This window comes from Homo sapiens, chromosome 17 (genome assembly GCF_000001405.40).
Source record: "Homo sapiens chromosome 17, GRCh38.p14 Primary Assembly".
NCBI lineage: Eukaryota > Metazoa > Chordata > Mammalia > Primates > Hominidae > Homo > Homo sapiens.
Window position 1 is genome coordinate 38475469 of NC_000017.11, and position 26309 is coordinate 38501777.

The 26309-nt window shown below is 53.9% G+C and overlaps 1 protein-coding gene across 11 annotated transcripts in view, besides 5 other annotated features; it reads left to right on the top strand.

The window, feature by feature from the left end:
• The window catches only part of ARHGAP23 (Rho GTPase activating protein 23), a 93111-nt gene that overhangs the window by 56194 nt on the left and 10608 nt on the right, over positions 1 to 26309 (top strand). For 6 of the 11 annotated variants that reach the window (XM_006721991.2, NM_001199417.2, XM_011525076.3 and 3 more), the window contains 12 exons: positions 2111 to 2428; positions 3968 to 4029; positions 4285 to 4415; positions 6554 to 6675; positions 7055 to 7210; positions 10594 to 10672; positions 14634 to 14707; positions 14994 to 15083; positions 15939 to 16064; positions 22317 to 22358; positions 22946 to 23042; positions 25129 to 25160. In XM_006721991.2, the coding sequence (XP_006722054.1) occupies positions 2111 to 2428; positions 3968 to 4029; positions 4285 to 4415; positions 6554 to 6675; positions 7055 to 7210; positions 10594 to 10672; positions 14634 to 14707; positions 14994 to 15083; positions 15939 to 16064; positions 22317 to 22358; positions 22946 to 23042; positions 25129 to 25160 (1329 nt within the window). Of the gene's footprint in view, positions 1 to 2110; positions 2429 to 3967; positions 4030 to 4284; positions 4416 to 6553; positions 6676 to 7054; positions 7211 to 10593; positions 10673 to 14633; positions 14708 to 14993; positions 15084 to 15938; positions 16065 to 22316; positions 22359 to 22945; positions 23043 to 25128; positions 25161 to 26309 lie in introns of those variants that run through there. The other 5 variants (XM_006721992.4, XM_047436477.1, XM_006721993.4 and 2 more) reach the window with 3 other exon arrangements.
• Positions 9022 to 9543: an enhancer, noted in NCBI's record as "H3K27ac-H3K4me1 hESC enhancer chr17:36640731-36641252 (GRCh37/hg19 assembly coordinates)". NCBI's record gives its function as "activates a minimal SCP1, AML or CMV promoter by ChIP-STARR-seq in naive H9 embryonic stem cells {active_cell/tissue: H9 hESC(naive)}" and the evidence as "EXISTENCE:reporter gene assay evidence [ECO:0000049][PMID:30033119]".
• Positions 17779 to 18280: an enhancer, noted in NCBI's record as "H3K27ac hESC enhancer chr17:36649489-36649990 (GRCh37/hg19 assembly coordinates)". NCBI's record gives its function as "activates a minimal SCP1, AML or CMV promoter by ChIP-STARR-seq in primed H9 embryonic stem cells {active_cell/tissue: H9 hESC(primed)}" and the evidence as "EXISTENCE:reporter gene assay evidence [ECO:0000049][PMID:30033119]".
• Positions 18281 to 18780: an enhancer, noted in NCBI's record as "H3K27ac hESC enhancer chr17:36649991-36650490 (GRCh37/hg19 assembly coordinates)". NCBI's record gives its function as "activates a minimal SCP1, AML or CMV promoter by ChIP-STARR-seq in naive and primed H9 embryonic stem cells {active_cell/tissue: H9 hESC(naive and primed)}" and the evidence as "EXISTENCE:reporter gene assay evidence [ECO:0000049][PMID:30033119]".
• Positions 23598 to 24124: an enhancer, noted in NCBI's record as "H3K4me1 hESC enhancer chr17:36655308-36655834 (GRCh37/hg19 assembly coordinates)". NCBI's record gives its function as "activates a minimal SCP1, AML or CMV promoter by ChIP-STARR-seq in primed H9 embryonic stem cells {active_cell/tissue: H9 hESC(primed)}" and the evidence as "EXISTENCE:reporter gene assay evidence [ECO:0000049][PMID:30033119]".
• Positions 24125 to 24649: an enhancer, noted in NCBI's record as "H3K4me1 hESC enhancer chr17:36655835-36656359 (GRCh37/hg19 assembly coordinates)". NCBI's record gives its function as "activates a minimal SCP1, AML or CMV promoter by ChIP-STARR-seq in naive and primed H9 embryonic stem cells {active_cell/tissue: H9 hESC(naive and primed)}" and the evidence as "EXISTENCE:reporter gene assay evidence [ECO:0000049][PMID:30033119]".

Below are 26309 nucleotides of genomic sequence, written 5' to 3' on the forward strand. Positions count from 1 at the left end.
CCCATCCAGCAGTTCTGTGATGAGCAGGGCTCACAGCTCAGGATCCACACGATGGGAGGCCAGATGTGGGCTGTGCCCATCTGCCAGCCACGGGGTCTCTTTGTCTGGTTTGTTCGGAGAGCTGAGGCCTGTGCTGGATGTGGAGCCACCAGCCAGCAGAGAGGAGCTCTTGGTCTGATGGGAGATGGAGCTCCTGCCCTCAGGGTGCTCCAAGGATCATTAATTCATTTATTCAACAAATATTGATGAGCCCTTGCATGCTGCTGCTGTAGGCCCTGGGATATGGAAATGAGAGGACGGACAAGCTCCCTGTCCCCAGGACAGCCTGAGGCTGCAGTAAGTTCTTGGAAAGGATCAAGCTGATCAGAAGCGGGAGCTGCATTGAGGGAAAAATATGGCCAGAGAAGGCCTCACTGAGGAGGTGACGTTGGTGATGCTGGAGCTCAGATCTGAAGGGGAAGAAGGAAGCAGCCACATATAGAAGTGAGGGAGGGGGCTTAGGCAAAAGGAACAGCAAGCGGAGAGGCCCTGAGAAAGGAAAGGCTTGGCTCGCTCACCTGCAAGGGCCCCCTGGCTTGACATAGTGAGAAAGGTGTGAAGATGAATTTGGAGAAAGGCAGGGACAGACCACAGGAGACCTTAGATTTGATTCTGAGGGCGATGGGATCCCTTGAGAGGATGCTGAGCAGGGGAGAGATGTGATCTCCTTTTCATTCTAACATGATCGCTGCAGCTGCTGCTGGAGAATGGTTGCAGGAGCGAGAGTAGAGACTGGGAAGGTCTGTGCATCCTCTAAGCAAGAGGCGTTGATGGCGTGGACCGGGTGGTGGCAGGAAAGACAGAGACGGGATGTTTTGGAGGCAGAATAGTTGTGACTTCCTGATGGATGGGATGTCAAGGGCGAGGAAAAGGGAGGAGTCAAGGGCAGCTCCCAGGTTTCTGGGCAACTGGATGGATTGACTGGGCTGGAAAAGATGGGGGTGGAGAGTGGAGAAGGGGTTTGATGGTAAGAAATCACATGGCCTGGCAAGTATTGTGCAAAGTGCCCATGGGACCTGCAAATGAAGCCACTGAGCAGGGTGGGGGTGCCGGGCTGTGGCTGGGAGAGACGCTGGGCTTGGGAATGGCCATCAGCAGATGGACCTAGTTTAAAGGCACGGCAGAGGTGACATCCTTGAGGGAGGTGTGCAGGGAGAGGAGAGGAGAGGAGAGTCAGGACAAAGTTCTGGAGCTCCGCCTCCTTTAGGGCGGGGTCTCTTACCCTCAGCTCTGCTGACATTTTGGGCCAGATAATTCCTTGTTGGGGGAGGCTGTCCTGTGCATTGTGCAATGTTTAGCCGCATCCCTCAGATGCCATAGCACACCCTCCAGCTCCCTCCACACAAATGTCCCGTGGGGACTAGTCTCCTGGCTGTTTAACTACAGGTGTAGAGGGTGGGGGAGGGCAAGTAGAGAAGACTAGGAAGGAGCCAGTGGCATTAGGAAGAAAGCTGGGAACGTGGGGTCTCAGGTGCCGAGATAGGGTCTGGAGAGGGAAGGAGGGGCTGGCTGTGTCAGATGCCGCTGAGGGGTTAAGGCAAGTTGGGGAGAAGCAGCCACTGGCTTTGGCCACATGGCGGTTCTGGGTGTCCCTGAGAAGGAGCTTCTGGGCAAGTGGAGTCTTGGGTGGGCGGCAGGAAAGTGGGGAGAACAACCCTCTAAGAGTGCGGACGGCTTCTGAGCAGGTTTGCTGGGATGAGGGGCAGCCTGGGGAGGGGCGTGGGCTGGGAATGGCATCCCCAGGATTTCATGTATGGAGGGCCATGCTGGGTGTCTGAGCATTGCCACCGCTCGGTGAGTGTTGATGCTGGTGTTTAGAGGGGGAGAGGGTTGGGGTCTGCTGGGGGGCTTTAGGATGATGGGTAGGGGTGTCTAGGCAGGCAAGGGGCTGAGAAGGCATTGGTGGGCTGTGGGCAGGAGGCTGCCCAGGTCTAGCCGGGTGGAGCAGGGGGCTCCTGGTAGGCAGCGTGGGGTCCATCCCCTGGCTGTCCTCTGTCTGCTACTCTGAGAGCAGTGGGCAAAACTGGCCTCTCACCATTCCTGTCTCCCCCAACCCCGTGTCTCCCTGCAGAAAGCGGGCAGCGGCCTGCGCCAGTGGAAGCGGGTGTACGCCGCGCTGCGGGCGCGCTCGCTCTCGCTGAGCAAGGAGCGGCGGGAGCCCGGGCCGGCGGCGGCGGGGGCTGCGGCGGCCGGCGCAGGTGAGGACGAGGCGGCGCCCGTCTGCATCGGCTCCTGCCTCGTGGACATCTCCTACAGCGAGACCAAGAGGAGGCACGTGTTCCGGCTGACCACCGCTGACTTCTGTGAATATCTCTTTCAGGCTGAGGACCGGGATGACATGCTGGGCTGGATCAGAGCGATCCGGGAGAACAGCAGGGCCGAGGGCGAGGTGAGGGCCCGGCCAGCCCGGCAGCCACAGAGGGCGGGCGGGGTGGCCTCTCACCGGCTGTGGACCTGGGATGCCCGCTCTGAGCCTCACTTCCCTCTGCTAGAAAGGGGGGCTGACAGGAGTGCACCTCGTGATTGTGTCCCCCAAGGTTTCGGGGTGAGGAGGGTGCACAGGCAGGGCTCACGGGGGACCTGGCGTCCTCAGGTGCGGGGACCGGCAGTCACCATCCTGACCCTAATGATGACAGGGATGATTGTGACTGTGTTAGGATCGCCTTGAGCAGGCTCCGGTGTGGAGTGGTCAGCTCCAGGCCAGTCTCAGCTTTTCTCAGCAGGCGAGGAAGGCAGGGGCCTCCTATGGAGTGTGTTAGGGCATGAGTGTCCCCGCACCAGAACTGCACTGGGCTGGCCTGTCTGCAGAAGGATGAGCACATTGACCTTGTGAGGAGGCCGAGAGGCTTGGCCTTTGGCCACAGGTGGGCAGGGGTGGAGCCAAGGGCCTCGGCAGGGATTTTGGGATAATTTTTTTTTTTTTTTGAGGCAGAGTCTCGCTCTGTTGCCCAGGCTGGAGTGCAGTGGCGCGATCTCAGCTCACTGCAACCTCCGCCTCCCAGGTTCAAGTGATTCTCCTGCCTTAGCCTCCCGAGTAGCTGGGACTATAGGCGCATGCCACCATGCCCGGCTAATTTTTTTTTAGTAGAGATGGGGTTTCACTGTGTTAGCCAGGATGGTCTTGATCTCCTGACCTCGTGATCCTCCCGCCTCAGCCTCCCAAAGTGCTGGGATTACAGGTGTGAGCTACTGTGCCCAGCCGAAGAATTTTTTTTAATGGTGCCCATTGTGGTCAGCCATAGCTACACTCCAGGGGCCTAGGTAGGGATTCCTCCCTGTTTACTTCTTTGGCCAGGAACCTACACAGAAGTGCCTTGAGACACCCACACAAAGTCATGTGGGCGTCCCAGGCCTGGGGTCTCTGCCAAGAGGGCAGTGGGCCTGGGCCTGCTGTGGCCGTGGGAGGGGGTGCTAGTGCATGGCCTCTTGCTGAGGTCACATCCTCTTACTGACCAGGCTCTGCTCTCCCGGGAACAGCTTTCCCCACTGCAGGGAGGAAGGCACCTGGAATTTGGGCCTCCTCCTCTGGGGGCCTCTCTTGGCTGTCCCCAACAAGGCTTAGTCAGGGGATCCCAAGTCACCATCACTATGGCAGTAGCAGTCCCTCCTGGGGCACCTCCTCCATGCCTGCTCAGTGTCTGCCAGGACGGTGGCGAGTGCTGCATGATTCTGCACCCGGCCCTGAGCCTTCCCTGTTAGCCCCCCATGTTTATTACCGAGGAGACTGAGGCTCAGAGAGGCTAAGAGGCTTCCCCAAGGCCTCAGCTGGTGAGAGGGTGCTGGGGAGTCCAGGCCTGGTCTTTCTCACTCCAGGGTCTGGGCTGTCCACCTGGCAGGTGGACAAGAGGGGAAGCAGGGCTAGGGATGAGCCCTGGGGTGGGCTGGCTGTGGGCACTGACATGATCCGCTCTCTCCTCTCCTGCTTCAGGACCCCGGCTGTGCCAACCAAGCTCTGATCAGCAAGAAGCTTAACGATTATCGCAAAGTGAGGTGAGGCCCAGCCCTCGTGGAGCAGTCTCCTCTGTGGGGGTGGTAGGGGGCTGAAGGCAAAGGATGTCTTCCTGGCCCACCTCCAGGGCTGCCCTCTGCTGGGGGAAGGGGTATCCAGGGTCTCCAGGCTGCAGTTAGGCATGGAGGCATTGCCTCAGGGTGGAGGGGAGGTCCCGAGGGGCGGGAGGCCAGGGTGGGTGGCCTGCTTGGCCACCCCAAATGAAGACCTCTCCTCTCCCCCTTTTTCCTACACAGCCATAGCTCTGGGCCCAAAGCTGATTCCTCCCCCAAAGGCTCTCGCGGCCTGGGGGGCCTCAAGTCTGAGTTCCTCAAGCAGAGTGCGGCACGTGGCCTCAGGACTCAGGACCTGCCCGCAGGGAGCAAGGGTAGGAAGGTGGCCACTGAGACAGGGTGGTGTGTGGGGGCAGGGGGCATGGGGAGGGGAGGGCACGCGTGTGTGTGTTGGGCTGTGTCTGCTCATGTGTGCCTGACTGTGTGCCAGGGCTACCGGTATGTCTGTCTGCGTGTGCATGCCTGTGAGGGTCTAGGGGCTCTCAGGGTCTCGGGGTGGAAGGGCCTGGAGCCTGATTCCCGTCCCTGACATCCCTGCTGGGTGGTCCTCTAATCTTTGCTGGTGTCTCTGCAGGGATGAGAGGCCCACCCTTTCCAAGAGCAACCTTTCCCATTTCACTCACCTTTGGCTGTTAGAAAGTTCTTACCTGGCTGGGCAAGGTGGCTCACACGTGTAATCCCAGCACTTTGGGAGGCCAAGGCAGGGCAGATCACCTGAGGTCAGGAGTTCAAGACCAGCCTGACCAACATGGTGAAACCCCAACTCTACTAAAAATACAAAAGGCCGGGCGCGATGGCTCACGCCTGTAATCCCAGCACTTTGGGAGGCCGAGGTGGGCGGATCACGAGGTCAGGAGATCGAGACCATCCTGGCTAACACGGTGAAACCCCGTCTCTACTAAAAAATACAAAAAATTAGCCGGGTGTGGTGGCAGGCACCTGTAGTCCCAGCTACTCAGGAGGCTGAGGCAGGAGAATGGCATGAACCTGGGAGGCGGAGCTTGCATTGAGCCAAGATCGCGCCACTGCACTCTAGCCTGGGTGACAGAGCGAGACTCCATCTCAAAAAAAAAAATACAATAAAAGTACCCGGGCGTGGTGGTGTGCGCCTGTAATCCCAACTACTTGGGAGGCTGAGACACGAGAATCACTTGAGCCTGGGAGGTGGAGGTTGCAGTGAGCCGAGATCACACCACTGCACTCCAGCCTGGGTGACAGAGTGAGACCCTGTCTCAAAAAAAAAAAAAAAAAAAAAGAAAGAAAGTTGTTCCCTTGGGCCAGCAGACATGGTGGCTGACACCTATAATCCCAGCATCATTTTGGGAGGCTGAGGCTGGAGGATTGCTTGAGGCCAGGAGTTTGAGACCAGCCTGGGTAACATAGAAAGGTCCTATCCCTACAAAATATTTTTTTTATATATTATTTATTTATTTAGAGACAGAGTCTCATTCTGTCACTCAGGCTGGAGTGATCTCAGCTCATTGCAACCTCCACCTCTTAGGTTCAAGCGATTCTTGTGCCTCAGCCCCGCTAGTAACTGGGATTACAGGCATGTGCCACCACGCCCGGCTAATTTTTTTTTTTTATTTTTTTTTGAGACGGAGTCTCGCTCTGTTGCCCAGGCTGGAGTGCAGTGGTGTGATGTCGGCTCACTGCAAGCTCCGCCTCCTGGGTTCACGCCATTCTCCTGCCTCAGCCTCCCGAGTAGCTGGGACTACAGGCGCCCACCACCACGCCTGGCTAATTTTTTTGTATTTTTAGCAGAGACAGGGTTTCACCGTGTTAGCCAGGATGGTCTCGATCTCCTGACCTCGTGATCCGCCCGCCTCGGCCTCCCATAGTGCTGGGATTACAGGCGTAAGCCACCGCGCCCGGCCCACGCCCGGCTAATTTTTGTATGTTTAGTAGAGACAGGGTTTTGCCATGTTGGCCAGCTGGTCTCGAACTCCTGGCCTCATGTGGTCCTGCCGGCCTCAGCTTCCCAAAGTGCTGGGATTACAAGCATAAGCCACTGTGCTTGGCAAAAAAAATTTTTTTTAATTAGCCAGGTGTGGTGGTATGAGCTTATAGTCCCAGCCACTCGGGAGGCTGGGGAGGGAAGATTGCTTGAGCCCAGGAATTTGAGGCTGCATTGAGCTATGATCATACCACTGCACTACAGCCTGAGCGACAGAGACTCTATCTCTAAAGAAACAAAGTTCTATGGCTTCCGCCTTGTAGTTTTGGCCCACGAGCCACACGGAAGTCCTTGCATTGCTCTGGGCCTCTCCTTTGGGGTAAGCATCCTCCCCTTCAGGCCTTCTCTCTTGCCATACAATGTCCCATCAGCCCTGGGCATCTGGTTTCTTCTCTGATGGAATCCCCATACGTCCAAATGTGTGAATGTGGCAGTGAATGTGTGTGACCCTCCTGGATACCCCAGCTCACTCTGGCTCTGTCTCCCCCACTTCAGATGACAGTGCTGCAGCCCCCAAAACCCCCTGGGGCATCAACATCATCAAGAAAAATAAGAAGGCCGCTCCGAGGGCGTTTGGGGTCAGGCTGGAGGAGTGCCAGCCAGCCACGGAGAACCAGGTGAGTCTCTGCCACACGCCAGAGCAGGCCCAGCAGGGGGAGACCGAGGCACAGAGGGTCAGAGCAGCAAGGGACATGGAACCAGCTCTCCACCTCATTGTACAAACACAGCTGGGAAAACAGCCCAGAGAGGGGAAGGCCCCCGCCTGCCCCGGGCCTCCCAGGGAGGGAGCAGCAGGGCTGAGGCTGAGCCCGGCTCCTTCTCAGACCATGGCGAGGCTTTGGTGTCATTTTTAGCTCCCAGACTGGAGGCAGCAAGGGCCTTTTGTTCCCCCCAAGGGTTCCTGGCAGCAGCTCTGGGCCTTGCATTGTCCCCTTCTTGGCCTCCCCAGCTCCTCTGGCCCCTGTCCCCCCTAACACCCCTCCCATGTGTCCCCAGCGCGTCCCCTTAATCGTGGCTGCATGCTGTCGCATTGTGGAGGCACGAGGGCTGGAGTCCACAGGCATTTACCGAGTGCCCGGCAACAATGCAGTGGTGTCCAGCCTACAGGAGCAGCTCAACCGCGGGCCTGGTGACATCAACCTGCAGGATGAGGTGGGTGAAGCTGGGGGGTCTGTGGAAGAGGGGCTGAGATGGTGTGTGGGTGGTGCTCCGCTTGGAGAGTTCTGTGGTCTATTGTGTTGCATGCATTGTGCCCTATGACATGCCCGGCATTGGTCCAGAACACCAAGATGGGCAAGATGGGACCTGCCCCCGCTGGCCAGCCCGGGGATGGGCATCACCCCAGGCTGAAGCTGACCAAGTAAATGCAGTCATGGCCTGGGGAGCTCTGAGGCAGAGGCTCACAGATGGCAGTTTTGTCCGAGTGTTTAGGATGAGTAGAGTTCACCAAAGGCCGGTGAAAGCCAGGTGAGGGCATTCCAGGCAGCAGAATGGCCTGCTCAATGGTGTAGACGCGGAAAGTGTGCCAGGAGTCAACCAGCTTTCTCTGTAGAAGGCAGAGGGTAAATATTTTCTGCTGTAGTTTGCTCTGTTGCGTTCCCCCCTTCTCTTCCTCCTCCTTCTCTTCCTAATCCTTTAACAACGTAAAAACCATACTTAGCTCAAGGGCCATCCAAAAGCAGGCTGTGGCTAGATATTGCCTACAGACCATGGTTTACAAACCGCCGGCTTAGAAAAAGGGGAATATATGATGTTTTCTAGAATGGCCAGCAATTTGGGTGGCTGCAACATGGAAAGAGAAGTGGCTGATCAGGCGAGATGAGACCAGCCTGTGAAGGGATCTGCAATCACACTTAAGTGTTTCCAGCAAGGCCGGCGATTCTCAAAGGGTGTTCCCCAGAGTCCTAGGGTTCCCCAGAGGGGCCTTGGGAGGCCAGGGGCAGGTCAGGACCCCCTGTCCTTGCTAGAGCAACCCTGCTTTGCCCTGTCTGTTGTACTGGGTTTTCATGTACAATTTTATTTGCCCAAAGGGGCTCTGATAAAAAAGATATTTTGGAAAACCGTGAACGTGGGCAGTGATGTCCCACGAATCACACACGTGAAGGCTCATGGAATACACAAGTCTTCCTGTCCTTGGAGAATGAGGAGCTGAGACAAGTGTGTGTGAAATTGTGGACAAGAGAAAAAGATGATCTCTCATCAGGGACCACACTGTGATGAGGAAGGAGAGGGTGCTCAGGCTGGAGCAGGTGGTGGCTGGAGGGTTTGAGTATTGGAGGAATGAATAGGAGGGGGCAGGTGGACGGGAAGCCTTTCGGGGTGTGAGACGATGGCATTTTCCAAAACCCCAGCAAGGGCCGGGGAGGGCTTGAGGGTTAGGACAGAGAGTGGATCTACCTCCTGGGCTTGGAGGTGGGGAGGGTGAGGCCCCAGGGGGACAGAGAAGGCATTTGATGGCTTCACTGAAGACTTCGACCTTGATCTGATGGACAGTAGGGAGCTTCTGATGGTTCTTAAGCTGGGGAGGCATCGTGAGAACAAAGTTCAAGAAACAGTAATGCTCCTGCTCATGTCCATTGGATACGAATGCGGAGGGCAGGGGTCTGGGGAGAAGTCACTGATCTATGGAAGCGCTAAGTGTCGGGAGGACTTGGTGGTCTCAGGGGAAGGGGGAGGATGGGAGCAACCCTAAGAGTTGTCTGCATGAGAGGGAGGAAGGAGGGGCGAGGAAGAGCCGCATGTTTGAGCTGGGGCTGGTGGTATCTTCCCTTGGCAGAAACCAGGGAGTGGGGCAGCGTGAGGAGAGGCGGAAGGGAGGGGCCGTCTCAGGGAGTGGCTCCATTGGATTTGGGGTGTGGAAAGTCCCTTGCATGGGGTGAGGGCATAAACAGGCGCTATATTGAGCCTGGACTAGAGAGTGGCATGGGTCCTGCTGCAGCTGAGGCATGGGATGACCAAGGGTGGGCCGCAGAACAGCAGGGGCCACGCTCTGAGTGGGACAGAAGGAGAGGGCCGCCAGTGAGGCTGGGGTGAGGGCAGACACTTCACTCTGGAGGAACCAGGAAGCACTGGCCAGGGCATTGGGTTTGGCAGCTGGGAGATGAGAGGAGCTCACACCTGAGGGCCAGGAGGTAACGGAGTCGGGTGGGCAGGAGCCGCACTGGGTGTGTGTGAGATGAGGGGGCCATGCTGGCAGGCAGCTGGTCCAAGCCAGGGCCAGCTGGGGGCATACGAGGTATATTGGGTGTGTTGTTTTGTCTTGGATATCATTGTGTCATTTGTTGTGGGTCGTGCTGGGAGTAAGTGTAGTGGGGGATGAATCTAACCCCTGGTGAGCCTGTGGGGAGTGTATTGTTTATGGGATTGTCTGGCATTAAGCTGTGGATCCATTGTAATGAGTGTGTGTACTGCTGTACTGTGTCTCTTTGTTGGGGGTATTAGGTCGCTTTCTGGGCCTGAGTTATTCTGAGCCATTCCCAGCGAGGCGGCTGTGCCCAACTTGGTTGCAATGTGGGGTGATGGTGCCCCCTGGAGGACAGAAGGGACAACGACCCGGCCGTTAGTTCTTGTACTCGACAACCATTTATTTTAGAGTAGGGTTTCTCAATCTCAGTGGACATTTTGGGAAGAACAATTATTTGTTGTGTGGGGTTGTCCTGTGCACTGGAGGGAATTTGACATCATCCCTGGCCTCGATCCACTAGATGCAAGTGGCACCTCCCAGTTGGGAAAATCAAAATGGCTCCAGACATTGTCAAATGTCCTCTGTGGGTGGAGTGGGAGTTTGGGGGACAAAATTGCCTCCTTCTGTTAGAACTACTGATTTAGGGCCATGTAAGTACCAGGTTAACTGTCCTTGCTAGGTGATAGGAGCACAGTGGGAAATGAGACAGACGGGATCCTGTCTCCTCCTGGAGCTTACAGTCCTGCAGGGAGACAGGCATGAACACGGAAACAAAAGCAGAAAATAATGACAAATTGGGTTAAGCGCCAGGAAGGAAACAAAGTCAGGGCTGGGGTGCAGGTGACAGGGCAGTGGTGAAGGTGGCTGCTTTAGCTATGAGGGTCAGAGAAGGCCTCTTTGAAGAGCGACTTTTAGGCGGGGATGAGGAGCCAGTTGTGTGGAGGCGGGGAGGAAAGTTCTGGTTGAGGAAACCAGCACATGCAGAGGACCTGAGACAGGAAGGAGCCGGCACGAATGACTGCTGTGTCACGGATGCTTAAACTGTGCCCAGTGGAGGCAGCAGCTGCCACTCACTGTCTCCCCACAGTGCCTGGGACTTTCTGTGCATGGGGAGGTGTTGGAGCCCACGCACTGGCAGGAGCAGGGAGGGGCTGGGGCCAAGTGTGAGTGTGGGCACAGGACCTCTCTGGGGACTCAGTTCTGCTGCCACCATCCTGATGAGTAGAGAGCTTGGTCTAAGTAGGTCCCAGGGAGGGCCTGGTGGGCTTGATTGGGCTCTGGGGTGAATGATCGTGGAGGCATGGGCATCGGGCTGGGCCTGCCTGTGCCTGACATCTGACCCCTCCCCCAGCGCTGGCAAGACCTCAATGTGATCAGCAGCCTGCTCAAGTCCTTCTTCCGAAAGCTGCCCGAGCCTCTTTTCACTGATGGTGAGTAGGAGGTGGAAGTGGGGCGGGGAGGGGACACCAGTCCGTGCCTCACCCTGACCACTACTTTTGCATTTGGTTTGTTGGTTTTACTCTTTTTTTTTTTTTTTGAGACAGTCTTGCTCTGTTGCCCAGGCTGGAGTGCAGTGGCGCAATCACGGCTCATTGCAGCCTCAAGCTACTGGGCTCAAGCGATCCTCCCACCTCAGCCTCCTGAGTAGCTGAGACAGCAGGTGAACACCACCACACCCAGCTAATTTAAAAGTTTTTTTTCAGAGATGGGGGGAGTTTCTCACTATGTTGCTCAGACTGGTGTTGCACTCCTGGGCTCAATCAATCCTCCTGCCTGCCCCAGCCTCACAAAATGCTGGGATTACAGGCATGAGCCACCACGCTGGCTTTTTTTTTTTTTTTTTTTTAACACAAAAGCTTATTTAAAAAACATAGATTGTACAGATGTGAATGAAGAAAACAGCACAGGACCCTGTGAATGTCCTGCTCCCTTTCACGGGAGGTTGTGGCTAACACTTTCTGAGCATTAGAGTGTGCCAAGCACAACTCCCTACAGCAACTCCATGAGGAAGGTGCTATTGTCTTCCCTCTACAGATTAGGAAACCAAGGCTCAGAGAAGTTTAATGCCTTGCCCAAGGTCGCACAGGTTGTAAATGGCAGAGCCAGGATTCCACCCCAGGCGTCGGGCACCGACGGGCTTTGGCCGTTTGCTGAACTGCTTATTCACAATCTGTTGTGTTTCTCTCCTGGCCCTCTTATATGCATGGCAGAGATACACACGTGCCTGCGTGGGGTTTGGATTTGGGTGGGTTCAGGGGTGTGCTGGCAGATGTTTAACATCTGTCTCTGGGGGAAAAAAGCCCTAATGCCTAGCGTTTTCCAGCTTCCATGGCGTAAATACTCCTACCATGGTTTATTTCAAGCCACCAACATGATGTCACCAACATGGAATTGGGAAGAGAGGCACACAGTCGCTCTCAGGAGCTGGTGTGAGCGGGCTCCAGCACACCGCTGGTTGAGTTGTTTTTAACAAAAGCAGAGTTGTAATTCTGAGATTCATTCGTGTCAGTGCAGAGAGCTCTACCTCATTCTTCTTTTAAATCAGCCACATAGAATTTCATGGTTTGAATAGACTACAATTTCTTTAAGTACTCCTCTATTGATGGATATTTAGGTTGTCTTCAAATGTTTGCTATTACACAACCTGTTGCAATGGCTTTCCTTGAATAAGTCCTTGCACGCCTGGATCTGTGCTCTCTAAGGAGATTCTTAGATGTAGAATTGCTGGGTCAAAGTCCCGGTGAACCTTTCTGAGACCAGTGTCAATTGCACTCTGAGAAAGAGGCCCTGGTTTAGACTCCCACTAAAATGTAGGAGTCTGTCTCTCCACATCCCCAACAGCATTGGATATTATAACTATTATTGTTACTTGAAGGCCAGGCATGGTGGCTTATGCCTGTGATCCCAGCACTTTGGAAGGCTGAGGCGGGTGGATCACCTGAGGTCAGGAGTTCAAGACCAGCCTGACTGTGGTGAAACCCCGTCTCTACTAAAAATACAAAAATTAGCTGGATGTGGTGGCGGGTGCCTGTAGTCCCAGCTGCTAGGGAGGCCGAGACAGGAGAATTGCTTGATCCCAGGAGGCAGAGGTTGCAGTGAGCCAAGATCGCACCACTGCACTTCAGCCTGGGTGACAGAGCAAGACTCCATCTCAAAATAAATAAATAAATAAATAATACAATAAAATAAAAATAAAAATACTATTATTTGACACAGAATCTTGCTCTGTTGCCCAGACTGGAATGCAGTGGCGCAATCATGGCTCACTGCAGCCTCAACCTCCTGGGCTCAAGTGATCCTCCCATCTCAGCCTCCTGAGTAGTTGGGACTACAGGTTTGTGCCACCACACCCAGCTAATTAAAAAAAAATTTTTTTTGGTAGAGGCAGGGTCTCACTACATTGCTCAGACTGGTCTTCAACTCCTGGTCTAAAGTGATCATCGCGCCTCGGCCTTTCAAAGTGCTGGGATTTTAGGCTTGAGCCACCTCACCCAGACAGCATTAAATATTATTAACATTTTAAACTTTTGCTAATCAGATAAGGGAAATGGTATCTCATTATTGTTTTTATTTTCATTGCCCTCATTACTAGGGAGATTAAATCTTTTTTCATTAGCATATTGGCTGTTTCTATTTTCTCTGTAATTGCTCGATCAGACCATGTGCCCATTTTTCTGTTGCGTTGTTTATCTTTTTCTTATGTTGATTTGCGGGAGAAAAGCTCTTTGTGTTTTACAGCTATTAACCCTTTGTTAGTTTTTGCAAATATTTGCTTTGGCCTGCCATTTGCCTTTCACTTTGCAGTATAGAAACTGAAAACAAATTTTTTGTTGTTGTTGTTTTGTTTTGTTTTTTGAGACAGAGTTTCACTCTTGTCGCCCAAGCTGGAGTGCAATGGTGTGATCTTGGCTCACTGCAACCTCTGCCTCCTGGGTTCAAGCGATTCTCCTGCCTCAGTCTCCCGAACAGCTGGGATTACAGGTGCCCACCATCATGCCCAGCTAATTTTTGTATTTTTGGTAGAGACGGGGTTTCACCACGTTGGCCAGGCTGGTCTTGAACTCCTGACCTCAGGTGATTCACCCTCCTTGGCCTCCCAAAGTGCTGGGATTACAGGCGTGAGCCACCGCGCCCTGCCTAACAATTTTTAATTTTATTTTTATTTAATTTTATTTATTTTCTTGAGACTGAGTCTCACCCTGTCATCCAGGCTGGAGTGCAGTGTTACGATCTCGGCTCACTGCAACCTCCGCCTCCCGGGTTCAAGCCATTCTCCTGTCTCAGCCTCCCAAGTAGCTGGGATTACAGGCGCCTACCACCATGCCCAGTTAATTTTTATATTTTTAGTAAAGATGAGGTTTTGCCACATTGGCCAGGCTGGTCTTGAACTCCTGATCTCAAGTGATCAGCTGATGCGCCTCAGCCTTCCAAAGTGCTGGGATTACAGATGTGAGCCACTGTGCCTGGCCGAAAACAATTGTTTAAAATGTGACCAAAGCTGTTCATCTTTTCTTCATGGATTCTGCATCTCATGTTTAGGATGGCCTTAGGATTATAAAAATATTTTCTTACTTTTTCCCCAGTGCTTTTATAATTTTCACAGTTGGCTCTGCCGTGTGATTGCATTTGTGTATTGTGAGCTAGAAATGATCCCCCCGCCCCCGATGGTAGCCATTTGTCCCGGGGACATCTGTTGAGGCCCCCATCCTTCCCCCCGATTGGAAGTGCTGCCTTTATCATATAATAAATATCCATATGGCCCGCTTCCCCCCTTTCTAGCCTTAACATTGCTCTGCCTTTTCTGCCGTGCCAGCCGGCTTCAGTTGTGCCATCCATTCGGGATGTTTCAGTCCCTGGTAGGGCAGATCCTCCCGCGTTACTCTTTCTTTAAAAACTATTCCTGGCTGTCTTTGTGCGTTAGCTCATCCAGATGAATTTCAGAATAGGCTTATCATGTTCCATTTTTTAAAGGTCCCCATGGACTTGTTCTGAAGGGAGTTGGGGTAATCCTTGGTGGAGGCTGTCTGAAGCCCCTCCTCCTCTCCAGGTGCCCTTCTCTTCTGACCTGCTGAACCTTGGTGTCCATGTCCTGGAGACGGGGGCAGGGACCCCTTTTCTGGGATCAGCATGCAGCTCAGATGGTATTGCCTCCCAAATGAACACAGCTGGGCTACCCCAGGTCAGGTGCACACCCGAGTGTAGCTGTGGTGAGTGCAGCTGTGGTGAGTGCAGCTGTGGTGGGTGTGTTCACATACACAAGAGGCTGTCGCCCACGCTGGAGCCCCCGAACTGGAGGAGTTCAAAACACAGCCCTCCCAGCAGGGCCCTTGGCCGGGAGAACAGGGGAAGGCGCTGCCCCCACCTCTCTAAAGAGTCTCCGCTGTGTTCTAGACAAATACAACGACTTCATCGAGGCCAACCGCATTGAGGACGCGCGGGAGCGAATGAGGACGCTGCGGAAGCTGGTAAGGAGAGAGAGGTGCTGTCAGACACGAGGTGGGGCAGCTGCCTGAGCACCTCTGTCCCAGGAGGCAGGGAGTCCGGTGCTGCCCACGACCCCTGTGGCCTTGGAGAAGCCCCGCTCCACTCAGGGCCTCAGTTTCCCCGTCCATACAAGAGAACGGGGGGTTAGAGGATAGGTTCCAGACTCCCTGAGGCATGGTAGTGGGAGATCTTTGGGGCATGGTGATGACGGGGGACAGGGGCAGGCCCTTACAGCCTGTCCCCATGCCCCTCCTCTCTCCTGCTCAGATCCGGGATCTCCCAGGACACTACTATGAAACGCTCAAATTCCTTGTGGGCCATCTCAAGACCATCGCTGACCACTCTGAGAAAAACAAGGTGGGTAGGAGTCCCGCATGGAGTCTGGGGGAGGCAAGCACGGACTTACTGTGTGAGGGCCCTCAGCACGCACTGAGCTCCAGCAGGTCCAGTAACTCAGGCCCCTCTAGGCACGCCCTCCTCCTATGACTGCTCCGTCCCCACCCCGCTCCTACATGCTGGTCAGTGCTTTCCCCCAGAGAGCCATCTCCTGAGTTTCTGAGGGCTTTCCAGAGGCAGGGAACCCCGGCCCCCCGTATCCGATGCATTGCCATCCTCCGACTTAGCTCAAGTCCCTCGCATTGCATTTTCCTCATCAAACCCCTTATGCCTTCTGGTTCTGCAGTGGGGAAAATGAGGGGAGTGATAGGATTTTTTGTGTTTTGTTTGTTTGTTTGTTTGTTTTGAGACGAAGTCTCACTCTGCCGCTCAGGCTGCAGTGCCTTGGCACGATCTCGGCTTACTGCAACCTTCGCCTCCCGGGTTCAAGCGATGCTCCTGCCTCAGCCTCCCGAGTAGCTGGGATTACAGGCACCTGGAAGTGATCGGATTATTTCCCAGGCCTAAAATAACCCCTGGGACCTCCAACATGTTTCCTACTGCAGGGTCTCCCACTGCTGGCACTGACCACTCAGGGCTGCCTTGTATAGGTGTGCAGGTTGGGCACTGCTCATGGCTGCTGGGCCTGGGGATGAAAGGGGCTGAAATCTGGTCTGTGCTCTACTCATCAAGCATCTCCATGCCCATACAAGGGGGTGTCCACCCTCTAAGCTGGGGACTGGTGAGGATGTAGTTGGGGACAGAGGCCTCAGGTGCCAGAGTGAGGGAGGACTGAGGTCAGGATGTTGACAGTGACCTGCTTTCCCTGCTGCCCAGATGGAACCCCGGAACCTGGCCCTGGTCTTTGGGCCGACACTGGTGAGGACGTCTGAGGACAACATGACAGACATGGTGACCCACATGCCTGACCGCTACAAGATCGTGGAGACACTGATCCAGCACGTAAGCCCCTGTTCCGGGGGGCGCCCGGCAGCCCCTGGGGCCCAGGCCATGTTCCTCTGAGCCCCTCGCTCTTGCTCCGCCTGGCGGAGTGTGCCCCAGGAAGGGCTCGGCAGCTTTAGAGCATGCTGCTAGGGTGGTATATACTCCTCCAAAGCCATGGGCTGCATTTCAAGGCAAGGCAGGAATGGATCCTGGAATCCCTGCTGCCCTGGGATGTTGTGTCCCCAGCAGGAGAGTCAAGAGGCCCCCGAGCTTCCGAGATGCCTGGGAAAGGTAGAAGAGGAGGAAGGGCAGGGAAGGTGCTACTGGTGGAGGGCGGAAGGGGCAGCTTCAGAAGTTGGCCCCTGGAGAGGTGTCCTGGCAGACACGAGCAGACGGGGGCCAAGGTCTGGCCTGATATCAGGAGGCCCCGGCTCTAGTGACTTTCCCTGCTGGCCCCACTGAGGTTTTGGGGAGATAGTGGTGATGTTCCTGGTAACAAGGGGTGGATGGGGCAGGGCACAGGGCCTTGGCCTGAGGCAGGATCCTGCACCAGTGCTTGGCATGTACTGGGCTGGCCACCTCCCTTCTCATGGCTTCCTGGATGCCAACAGCCCTGGTCCTGTAGGTTCTTGTTACTGTGCATGGGCGGAGGAGAACCCAGAGTGGCCAGCAGAGGGCGCAGAAGGCCTTGGTTTTCGAGAGCCCAACCCTAAGGCAGCACTGCCGCCTTCTGGTGTGCACACGGATATCATTATGAATCGTAGATTTTCCATTTCCAATTCTTGTTACAGCCCACAAAGGATGAGAACAGAGCCCCTCCTGCCAGGGGAAATAAGACTGGCAGCTGGTCAGAGGAAGGGAAGCCTCAGTCCCAAGCCCCCTAGACACTTTAGGGAAGGAAAGCTGGGCCCTATCACCCCCATTTTACAGAGGAGGAAACAGGCTCAGAGAGGCAAAGCAACTTGCTCATGGTCACACAGCTAATAAGTGGCAGCCCAAGATTTCAAGCCAGATCTGACTAACCAAAGCCTGTGCTTTCCTCCTGCTATCAACCCAAAGGCCAGACTCCTGGGTCCCTCCTTGAGCTGGCTTGGGACGGAGGGAGGGGGCCAGGGTAAGGAGGCGAGGTGGTGAGCAGCTGAGCCATGTTAACAGCCTTGCTTGCCCATCTCCCTCCTTCACTGCATGCTCAGGGCTCCGAGCCACAGGAGGGAAGATCACAGCCTGCTGCATCCGGACACTGGGAACACCACTCCAGAGCTGTCTGGGAGGCCAGGGCTGCCCTGCAGCGTCGGGGATCCTGATGAGGCCTTGGGAAAGCTTAGCTCTCCAGGGCACCAGGGAGCCCCGGAACCTCCCGTGAGGGTGTGTTTTGGGGGCAGCAGCAGGGAAGAATGGGTGTCTGGCCCTGTGCTCCTGGAGAAGTCCCTGGAAGCCCAAGGTCTGAGGTCAGCTGAGGTGTCAGGAACTGCAGCCTTCAGGGAGGAAGGAGGCCAAAGCCCCAAGGGGGAGTCCCTGCTCTGGGCAGGGTGGAGAAGGTGGAGTTTGTCTCATTTAGCACTGACACTACTGGCACACAGTGGCTACTCAGTGTTTGTGGAGTATAAATGACTGAGTAAATTGCTAATTGAGGTTACGTCAGGCTGGGTTTTCTTTCTCTTTCTCTCTCTCTCTTTTCGCTTTTTTTTTGTTTTTTTGTTTTTTTTTTGATAGAGTCTCAGTCTGTCGCCCACACTGGAGTGCAGTGGGCAGATACGGCCCACTTCCAGGCTCAGGCGATCCTGCCATCTCAGCCTCCTGAGTAGCTGGGACTAGAGATGCCACCACCACACCACCTGGCTAATTTTTGTATTCTTTTGTAGAGATGAGGTCTTACTATGTTGCCAGGGCTAGTCTTGAACTCCTGGACTCAAGCGATCCTCCCATCTCGGCCTCCCAAAGTGCTGGGATTACAGGTGTGAGCCATCACGCCCAGCCAGGCTGGGCTTTTCTACTCAGAGATTCATTCCCGAGAGCTAACTGAGCTAGTGTCCTTCCCTTCTCTGCCTCCTTGGCATCTGAACGTAACCAGCCCTGGATGATTGTCGAGGGAATGAGCCACCCACTCTGCAAGCCCTGAAAGCCTGCCCACCCAAGCGTGCCAGCTCTGTCTAGCCTGGAGGCTCCATAGCCAGGGCAGTGCTGCTGTCACTTGGGGTACCCAGACCAGTCTTCAGGTCGGAAAGAGCGTGGCAACTGAGGGGTAAAGAGGAACAGCGACTTGCCCAGGGCCACGCAGCAAGATAATGGCAGAGCAGAGAGGAGAGCAAACCTGGGTGTCTGATCTTGCAGCGGGCAAGTTGCCAGGAGCCCCTACCTATGTTTACGAAGTCAAATGGAACCCAAACAAAGATCACCCAGGGCATTTGCTCAGGGACTCACTCAGCAAAGGCAGCGATACCTAATGTTTCTCAGCCTCAGCACTAGTGAGCGCTGGGGTCCAGATAAGTCTTTCTTGTGGGAGGCTGTTCTGTGTGTTACAGGACATTTAGCAGCATCGCTGGCTTCTACCTGCTGGATGCTGGGAATATCACTCTAGTTGTCACAATCGAAAATGTCTCCAGACATTGCCAAGTGCCCACTGGGGTGGGGGGATTGACGGCAGTGGCTCTGGGGCCAGCCTGCTCCTATGTGCTGTGTGGCCTTGGACAAGTTCCTTACCTGCTGTGCCTCAGTCTCCACACCTGTAAAGCAGAGATGACAATACTGTTTACCTCACATCGTTGTGAATGTCTGCTAAAGCACTCGCGGCGGTGCCTGGCAGGTCCTAAGTGTCGTGTGAGAACGGACTGTCATCCTCTTCGTCGTGGTCATTATTCCACGCCAGAGACAGATCCCCGTGCTGGGAACACGGAGGTGAATGGGAGCCTGCTCAGAAGGAATATTGCCAGCGGGTGTGGTGGTGCGTGTCTGTGGTCTCAACTACTTGGGGGGCTGAGGTGGGAGGCTGCAGTGAGCCGAGATTGCGAAACTGCACTCCAGCCTGGGTGACAGAGTGAGACCCTGACACACACACACACACACAAAAATCCATTAAAAAAATGATGCTTCTCATTCATTTATTCTTTTAATAATGTTTATCAAAGTAAGAGCTGCGTCTCTTTGTGCTCTGGGCTATGCCCAAGGAAGCCCCACAGAAGGACCCACCCCGGCCCTGGGTGCAGGGCTGGGGTCGTAGTCATGGAGTTCTTGAACTGCCTTAGAGGACCATGATGAGAACTTAGCCAGGCAGAGCAGGGAGAAAGGGCATCCCAGGCGGAAAGAACAGCACGTGCAGAAACAGGGTGGCAGGAACTAGTGTGGATTCCTCTTGAGAGCCGTGGCCACCCGGGCGCTTCCTGTAGACGCTGTGGCTTGCAGAGTACTTCTGGGCACCTTCCAACCTGCATTAACGGCTGGCTTCTTTGGGCCGATCCTCAGGCTTCCCCTGGTCAGCCTGTCTCTGGAAGCCACACTTTTGAATAGCAGTAGCTGACATCTATTATACATTAACAATGTGCTGCACTCGACGTTTTCCATACAGTATTTCATCTCAATCCTCCTCAGGCCTAGAAGGAGGTACTCACATCATGCCCATTTTAGAGATAAGTAAATAGACTTACAGAGGGAAAGTAACTTGGCTAAGGTGAACTTGAACCAAGATGACTGACTCCAGAGCTTCCATTTTTCTTTTTCTTTTTTTTTTTTTTTTTTTTTGAGACAGAGTCTCACTCTGTCGCCCAGGCTGGAGTGCAACGGCGCGGTCTCCACTCACTGCAGCCTCCAGCTCCTGGGCTCAAGTGATCCTCCCACCTCAGCACCCCCAAGTAGCTGGGATTATGGGTGCATGCCACCATGCCGGGCTAATTTTTGTATTTTTAGTAGAGCTGGGGTTTCACCCTGTTGGCCAGGCTGGTCTTGAACTCCTGACCTCAGCTGATGCACCTGCCTCAGCCTCCCAAAGTGCTGGGACTATAGGTGTGAGCCACTGTGCCCGGCCAGAGCTTGCATTTTTCTTATCTTCCTTTGCTGTCTTCTCTTCTATCTCTTTCTTCTTTCCCTTCTGGCCTTCCTGTGCTGTTTGAGTTAATCACATGTCAGATCATGAGCGATAATAACTGAGGCTCATGGCGTATGCTCAGGCAAGTCCCCTTGTTTCCCCTCTTCATTCCCCTAGGTGCCCACTCTTAATAGGCTAATATGTGTCCTTCCAGGACACCTTCCACTTATTGTAAATGCATGGCTACCCTTAAATATATATAATATTCTTTGTGTGTTTTAAGTCTACATAATGAGATTATAAATTGCCTGTTCCTCTTCTTTCATAGGTGTTGAGGGGGGTAAAGGGTAATTGCCTTAATTTTTATTCATTTATTTTTTTTGAGATGGAGTTTCACTCTTGTTGTCCAGGCTGGAGTACAGTGGTGCGACCTCAGCTCACTGCAACCTCTGCCTCCCGGGTTCAAGCAATTCCCCCACCTCACCCTCCTGAGTAGCTGGGATTACAGGTGCGCACAACCATGCCCAGCTAATTTTTATATTTTTAGTAGAGATGGGGTTTCACCATATTGGCCAGGTTGGTCTCAAACTCCTGACCTCAGGTGATCCGCCCGCCTCAGCCTCCCAAAGTGCTGGGATTACAGATGTGAGTCACTGCACCGGGCCTGTCACTATCAATTTCTAATGCTTATCAGTTTCTGTGTCTTCCTTCCACCACATCTAAAAGCCAAAAGTGGTAGGGTGCAGTGGCTCATGCTTGTAATCCCAAAATCTACAATTTTTTTTTTTTTAATTAGCTGTGCAAGGTGGCACATGCCTGTAGTCCCAGCTATTCAGGAGGCTGAGGTGGGAGAATCTCTTGAGCCCAGGAGTTCAAGGGTACAGTGAGCTAGGATCAGGCCACAGCATTCCAACCTGGATAACAGCGAGAGACCCTATCTCAAAAATAAATACATAAATACAATAAAAGCCAAAAGTGCCTTAGTTATTTCTTGGAGCTTGCCGAAGGTCATCTCTTTACTTGCTCAAGTATTCAGTTAAGAGAGTCTTTGTGTAGTAAATTTTCTGATGTCTCAGGATAGCTTTATTTCAAGGCCAGGTGTGGTGGCTCCAGAGAGCAGGAGGTTCACTTAAGGGGTGATTAAAACAATCTGTGGTATGCCTGTAATCCCAGCACTTTGGGAGGTGGAGGTGGGCGGATCACTTGAGGTCAGGAGTTGAGACCAGTCTGGCCAACATGACGAAACCCCATCTCTACTAAAAATACAAAAATTATCCAGGCGTGATGGCGTGCACCTGTAATCCCAGCTACTTGGGAGGCTGAAGCCAGAGAATCACTTGAACACAGGAGGCAGAGGTTGCAGTGAGCCAAGATTGCACCACTGCACTCCAGCCTGGGTGACAGAGTGAGATTCTGTTGGAAAAAAAAAAAAAAGAATAGCTTTATTTTACACTCAGATTTAAATGAGAGTTTAGCAGGGTATAAAATTCTAGGTTCCTTCAACACGTCAAAACTTACTTTCTTGTCTTCTTGTGTTTTGCTGCTGAAAGTTCCAAGTACCTGTGATACGTGTTCATTTATAAGCAATCTGGATTTTTTTTTTCAGAAAACTTAGAATTTTATCTTCAAGATTCTCAAATTTTACAAAATATATTAAACTGTGGGGGTCTTTATTTTCTCTCTTGTTTGGCCTTTATGAGAAAGCTCTCGCCTCCTGCCCCTCAGGAAACCTCCAACGCCTTTCTCCTGTCATTTCCTTTTCTGGGCTGAGTACGTGACACCCCTGTTGTCAGTGTGGCACCCATGGGTGGCAGGTGGCGTGGGGCACACTCGGCTGTCACAGCCATGGACCTGGCCAACACTAACGGCACTGGTGCCTCCCTGCCCCCCGGCTCGCTGTGGGGAGTATACCACAGGGGTGTGCCCAGGACAGTGTTTAGAGAAAAGCAAGTAAAAGCGAAGCTCTCCCTAAGCCTATCTCCTGTCTGAGGTGAATGCTCCCACTCCCTGCCGTGTCTCCTCCCACACTGGGGTCCCACCTTTTCTCTCCCCCAGGGTTTTTCATAGTCTGTGGAGTCAGGTTTTAGGGTCCGTCAAGCTCCCTCTGAGCCCTCTTTTGCAGCCCCGCCAGCCTGGGGTTTGTTGAGAGAGAGGCGCCCCTTGCCGCCTGAGCGGGTCCTCTGGAATGAGCAGGTGGAAGAGACTCTTCTTTCCCATGCTGATTTCATCCCTTCCTTTTGTCTTCTCTGCAGTCAGACTGGTTCTTCAGTGACGAAGAGGACAAGGGAGAGAGAGTAAGTGATGCCGCGGGCTGGGCTGGCATGGGGGCTGGTCTGGGGTGAGCCCCAGTCCTTGGGGGTGGGGCAGGCAGCGGGACTTAAGCCGGGGAAGGTGTCTGTCCTTGAGGCTTCCCTCAAGTCTGGTGGAGGAAACACAGACCCTCTCCTCAGGAGCCCCTAGTCTGATAGAGAAGCACAAAGCTTGCCTTCAGGAATCCCCAGTCGAAATGGGGGAGATATAGGCCTTGCTCAGAGGGAACCCAGTTCAGGAGTAAAGGCAGCTCCTGCCCTCCAGGCTACTGAGAAGGACTTAGGTTGGAGGAGTTCCAGTCTGGTGCGGGAGACACAGCTCCTGCCCCTAGCTGAAGGGGCCGCTCTGGCCTTCGCGGTTCCCAGGTGTTGAGGAAGGCACAAAACTGTCTAATAGGGGACATGTAGGAATCATCCTCAAGAGCGCCCGGCTGATGAGGGAGACGGTCCCTGCCCCAGTGAGCCCGGTCTGATGGAGGAGACATGGGCTCTGTCATCAGGGCACCCCCCTCTGGGGGGTTGGCAGCCCAGCATCTGAGGGCATGCCAGCTGACCCCTCCTCCTGTTCGCAGACCCCTGTGGGCGACAAGGAGCCTCAGGCAGTGCCCAACATTGAGTACCTCCTGCCCAACATTGGCAGGACAGTGCCCCCTGGCGACCCGGGGTCAGGTGAGCGCAGGGGCCTGGGAGTGGGGAGGCGGGAGGTTGGACACTGCATTCCTGAGGGTCCCAGGTGCCTGGCCAGATGCCCAGCTTCCCTGTGCCACCCCAGCGGGGCCCTCCCCTGCCGGCCACCATGGAGATGGGGCTGTTGGGGGCCTTCTCCCTCCCTAGGGAAGTCCAGCTTGCCCCGTGCCCACCTCCTGTCTGCGCAGCTGCCCCGCCCCGGGCAGGGTCGGAGCTTTGTTCGCCCTCTCTCACTGGTTTCTTTCCTCAGCCTTTAATTTCTCATGGGCTGGCTGTGTCCTTCTGGGCATGTTCCTCTTTTTAATTTTTCTTCCTTTTCTCCTTGCACCCCCGCCTCTCCCTCCTCTTCTCCCCGTGCTCTCCTCCCACCCCCTTCTCTTCTCCTCCCCCTCCCCTCCTCCAGCGGACCTGTTGGAGATTTAAAGGGTACAGTGCGGTGTCGCGGCCTCGGTCACTAACAGTGGCGGGTGATTATAAGAAGGCTGGGTGGGCACAGCGGCAGGCAGAATGTCCCGGACTGTGAGGACCCCACGCTGACATGCCAGTTACCCCTGCCTGTTATCCACTTACCCCAGCAGTCCATGCCCCTCCCATTCTAAAGCCCCTTCTCAGGAGGAAGGAGGCACTCACTGGGCCCAGGGCCCTCCCCGTTGCCTGGACACCTGGGCATCGAATTGCTGCCCTCCTGCAGTGCCACAGACCCTGCGGCCTCTCTTTGCCGAGTCTCACCACTGCTAGTCATCCAGGCTGGGGACCGACACTCTCTGGAGACCAGCGATGCCACGCCCAGAAGCTTCTCTTTATCTCTAACTCCTGCCTCAGTCACCCCAATGGGCCGCCTCTTCCTGCTTAAGAAACCGGGGCCCTAAGTCCTGTTTGCAGGGCCTGTGGCCCTCTCATGGCAGAGGACAGATGATTTACATGCTCAGAGACAGATGAGGGCCACTCCCTTTGTGGCTGCAGCCACTGACTCCTCCCCCCGCCATGGTTGTCCCTCCCTTTAGTTTTAGCATTTCTGTTCGTCTCTGACAGAGGCACACAGGAGCTCCCTAGTCACCAGAGGCAGGCTCAGGAGGGGCCAGAAGACATGGGGGTGGGACGGCAGAGAGGGACCCCATGTCTCTTCTAATCACCCGCCGCCCCCCGCGCCCTGTGTGTCGTGTGTGGTCGCCCATCTTGCTTTTCTCACCTTGTGCAGGGGGAGGGGTCCGGAGAGGGGGGCGTCTAACTTGCCTGCCAGAGAGTGTGGATTAACCGCACCTGCCCACTACCCTGTGGGACCCCAGGAGGCCCTTGGACCAACCTGCTCCTTCTTTAGCCTTGGAGGGGACCCACCAGGACGTGTTTCTGGTTCCTTCTCCACCCCAGTGATATTAAGGGAGTGGGACCCAAGTCCCATAGAAATCATGCTTTTGGTCTCCTTCATAACTGGGTGATAACTGGGGACCCTGCCCATGAGGCAGGGTGACCCCAGGTCCGGAGGTGGAACCTATCAAGGCTCTAATCACCAGCCCACTCCACCTCCTGCGTCCCACCCACTTCATTTTTGCCCTTTTATCCATTATTCATGTGGTCCCTCTTCTCTGTTGTGTGCTCGGGGGTGGATGTAGGGCACCCACCTCTCTGTGCACTGTGTGGTCTCCATTTCTCCAGAGCATCTGTGATTTGCTGTGTTTCACTGTGGTGGTTTCCATGGACTGCACCTGATATTTGGCATTTTCTCTCCAGTGCTTCAGAGTAACAGGGACGGGCGGGGAAGGGGAGAGGAACCAGGCTCAAAGACAATGCCCCCTTGCCCTTAGCCATCGGTAAATGAGGGGCCAGTGGCTGGCAGCCTGATGTCACTTCCTGCCTCTAGAGGAAGTGGCAGTTAACATCATTTTCTCCTCCATCCCTCTCCCATAGATGGACATCAGATGTCCATCATACTCCTAGGGCCTGGGGAGATCTCATGTTTCAGAATTCCCTGGTTTCTGAAGCCTTTGAGGAGAGGGAATTGTGTGCATAAGACTCAGCTTTCTTTTTTCCTGATGCAACTTTCATTTTTTTTTCTGTCTTTCACCAACAGATTCTACCACCTGTAGTTCAGCCAAGTCCAAGGTACGTATGAAGGCAATTCTGAAGGCTTGATCCCTGTACAAGGCAGCCCACTTTGGTTTTTGTTCAAGGGAATTGAGGGAATGGCAGTTGGACCATGGGGAAAGTTGATGGTCCCTGGGAGGGAAGGCAGGAGGTACCGAGTGCCCAAGGTAAGCTGAGAAATTGCTTACCTTGGCAGTGTTTGGTGAGGCATCTGCTGTAGTAGAAGGACCTGGCCTGGGAGTTATGTGGCTAGGAGGCAATGTCACTCAGTAGTTAGAAGCACAGACTCTGCAGTCAGACAGTCCTGGGTTTGAGTTCTGGCTCCACCATTTAGTAGTTTGGGACATTGGGCAAGTTACTTAACCACTTTCTGATCCTTAGCTTCCTCATCTATAAAATGGGAATATCAGTAAATCTGTGGGGTGCTATAATAAATAAAACAGATATCCTTTAAGGTCTTTGGAGAGCCTAAAGCAAGCAGAAGGAAATAAAGAGAGGAGCAGAAATCCATGAAATAGAAAACAGTTGAAAAAAAGCAATGAAACCAAAAGCTGGTTCTTTGAAAAAAAATCAGTGAAATTGATAAACCTCTAGCCAGACTAACAGAATAAAAAGAAAGATGGCACAGATTATCAGTATCAGGGATGAAAGAGGGACATCACTACAGACCCCTAAGTTATTTTTTATTTTTTATTTATTTATTTTTTTTGAGACGGAGTCTTGCTCTGTCACCCAGGCTGGAGTGCAGTGGCACCATCTCGGCTCACTGCAAGCTCCGCCTCCCAGGTTCACACCATTCTCCTGCCTCAGCCTCCCGAGTAGCTGGGACTACAGGCGCCCACCATCACGTCCAGCTAATTTTTTGTATTTTTAGTGGAGACGGGGTTTCACCAGGTTAGCCAGGATGGTCTTGATCTCCTGACCGCGTGATCCGTCCCCCTTGGCCTCCGAAAGTGCTGGGATTACAGGCGTGAGTCACTGCGCCTGGCTATAGACCCCTAAGTAATTGAATTTATGGGCATAAAGTTGCCCATAAATTCAATAACTTAGGTGAAATAGACCAATTCTTTGAAAGATTCAGACTGCCAAAACTCACTTAAGAAAAAATAGATAACCTGAATAGTCCTATACCTCCTAAGGAAATTGAATATGTAATTTAAAATCCCC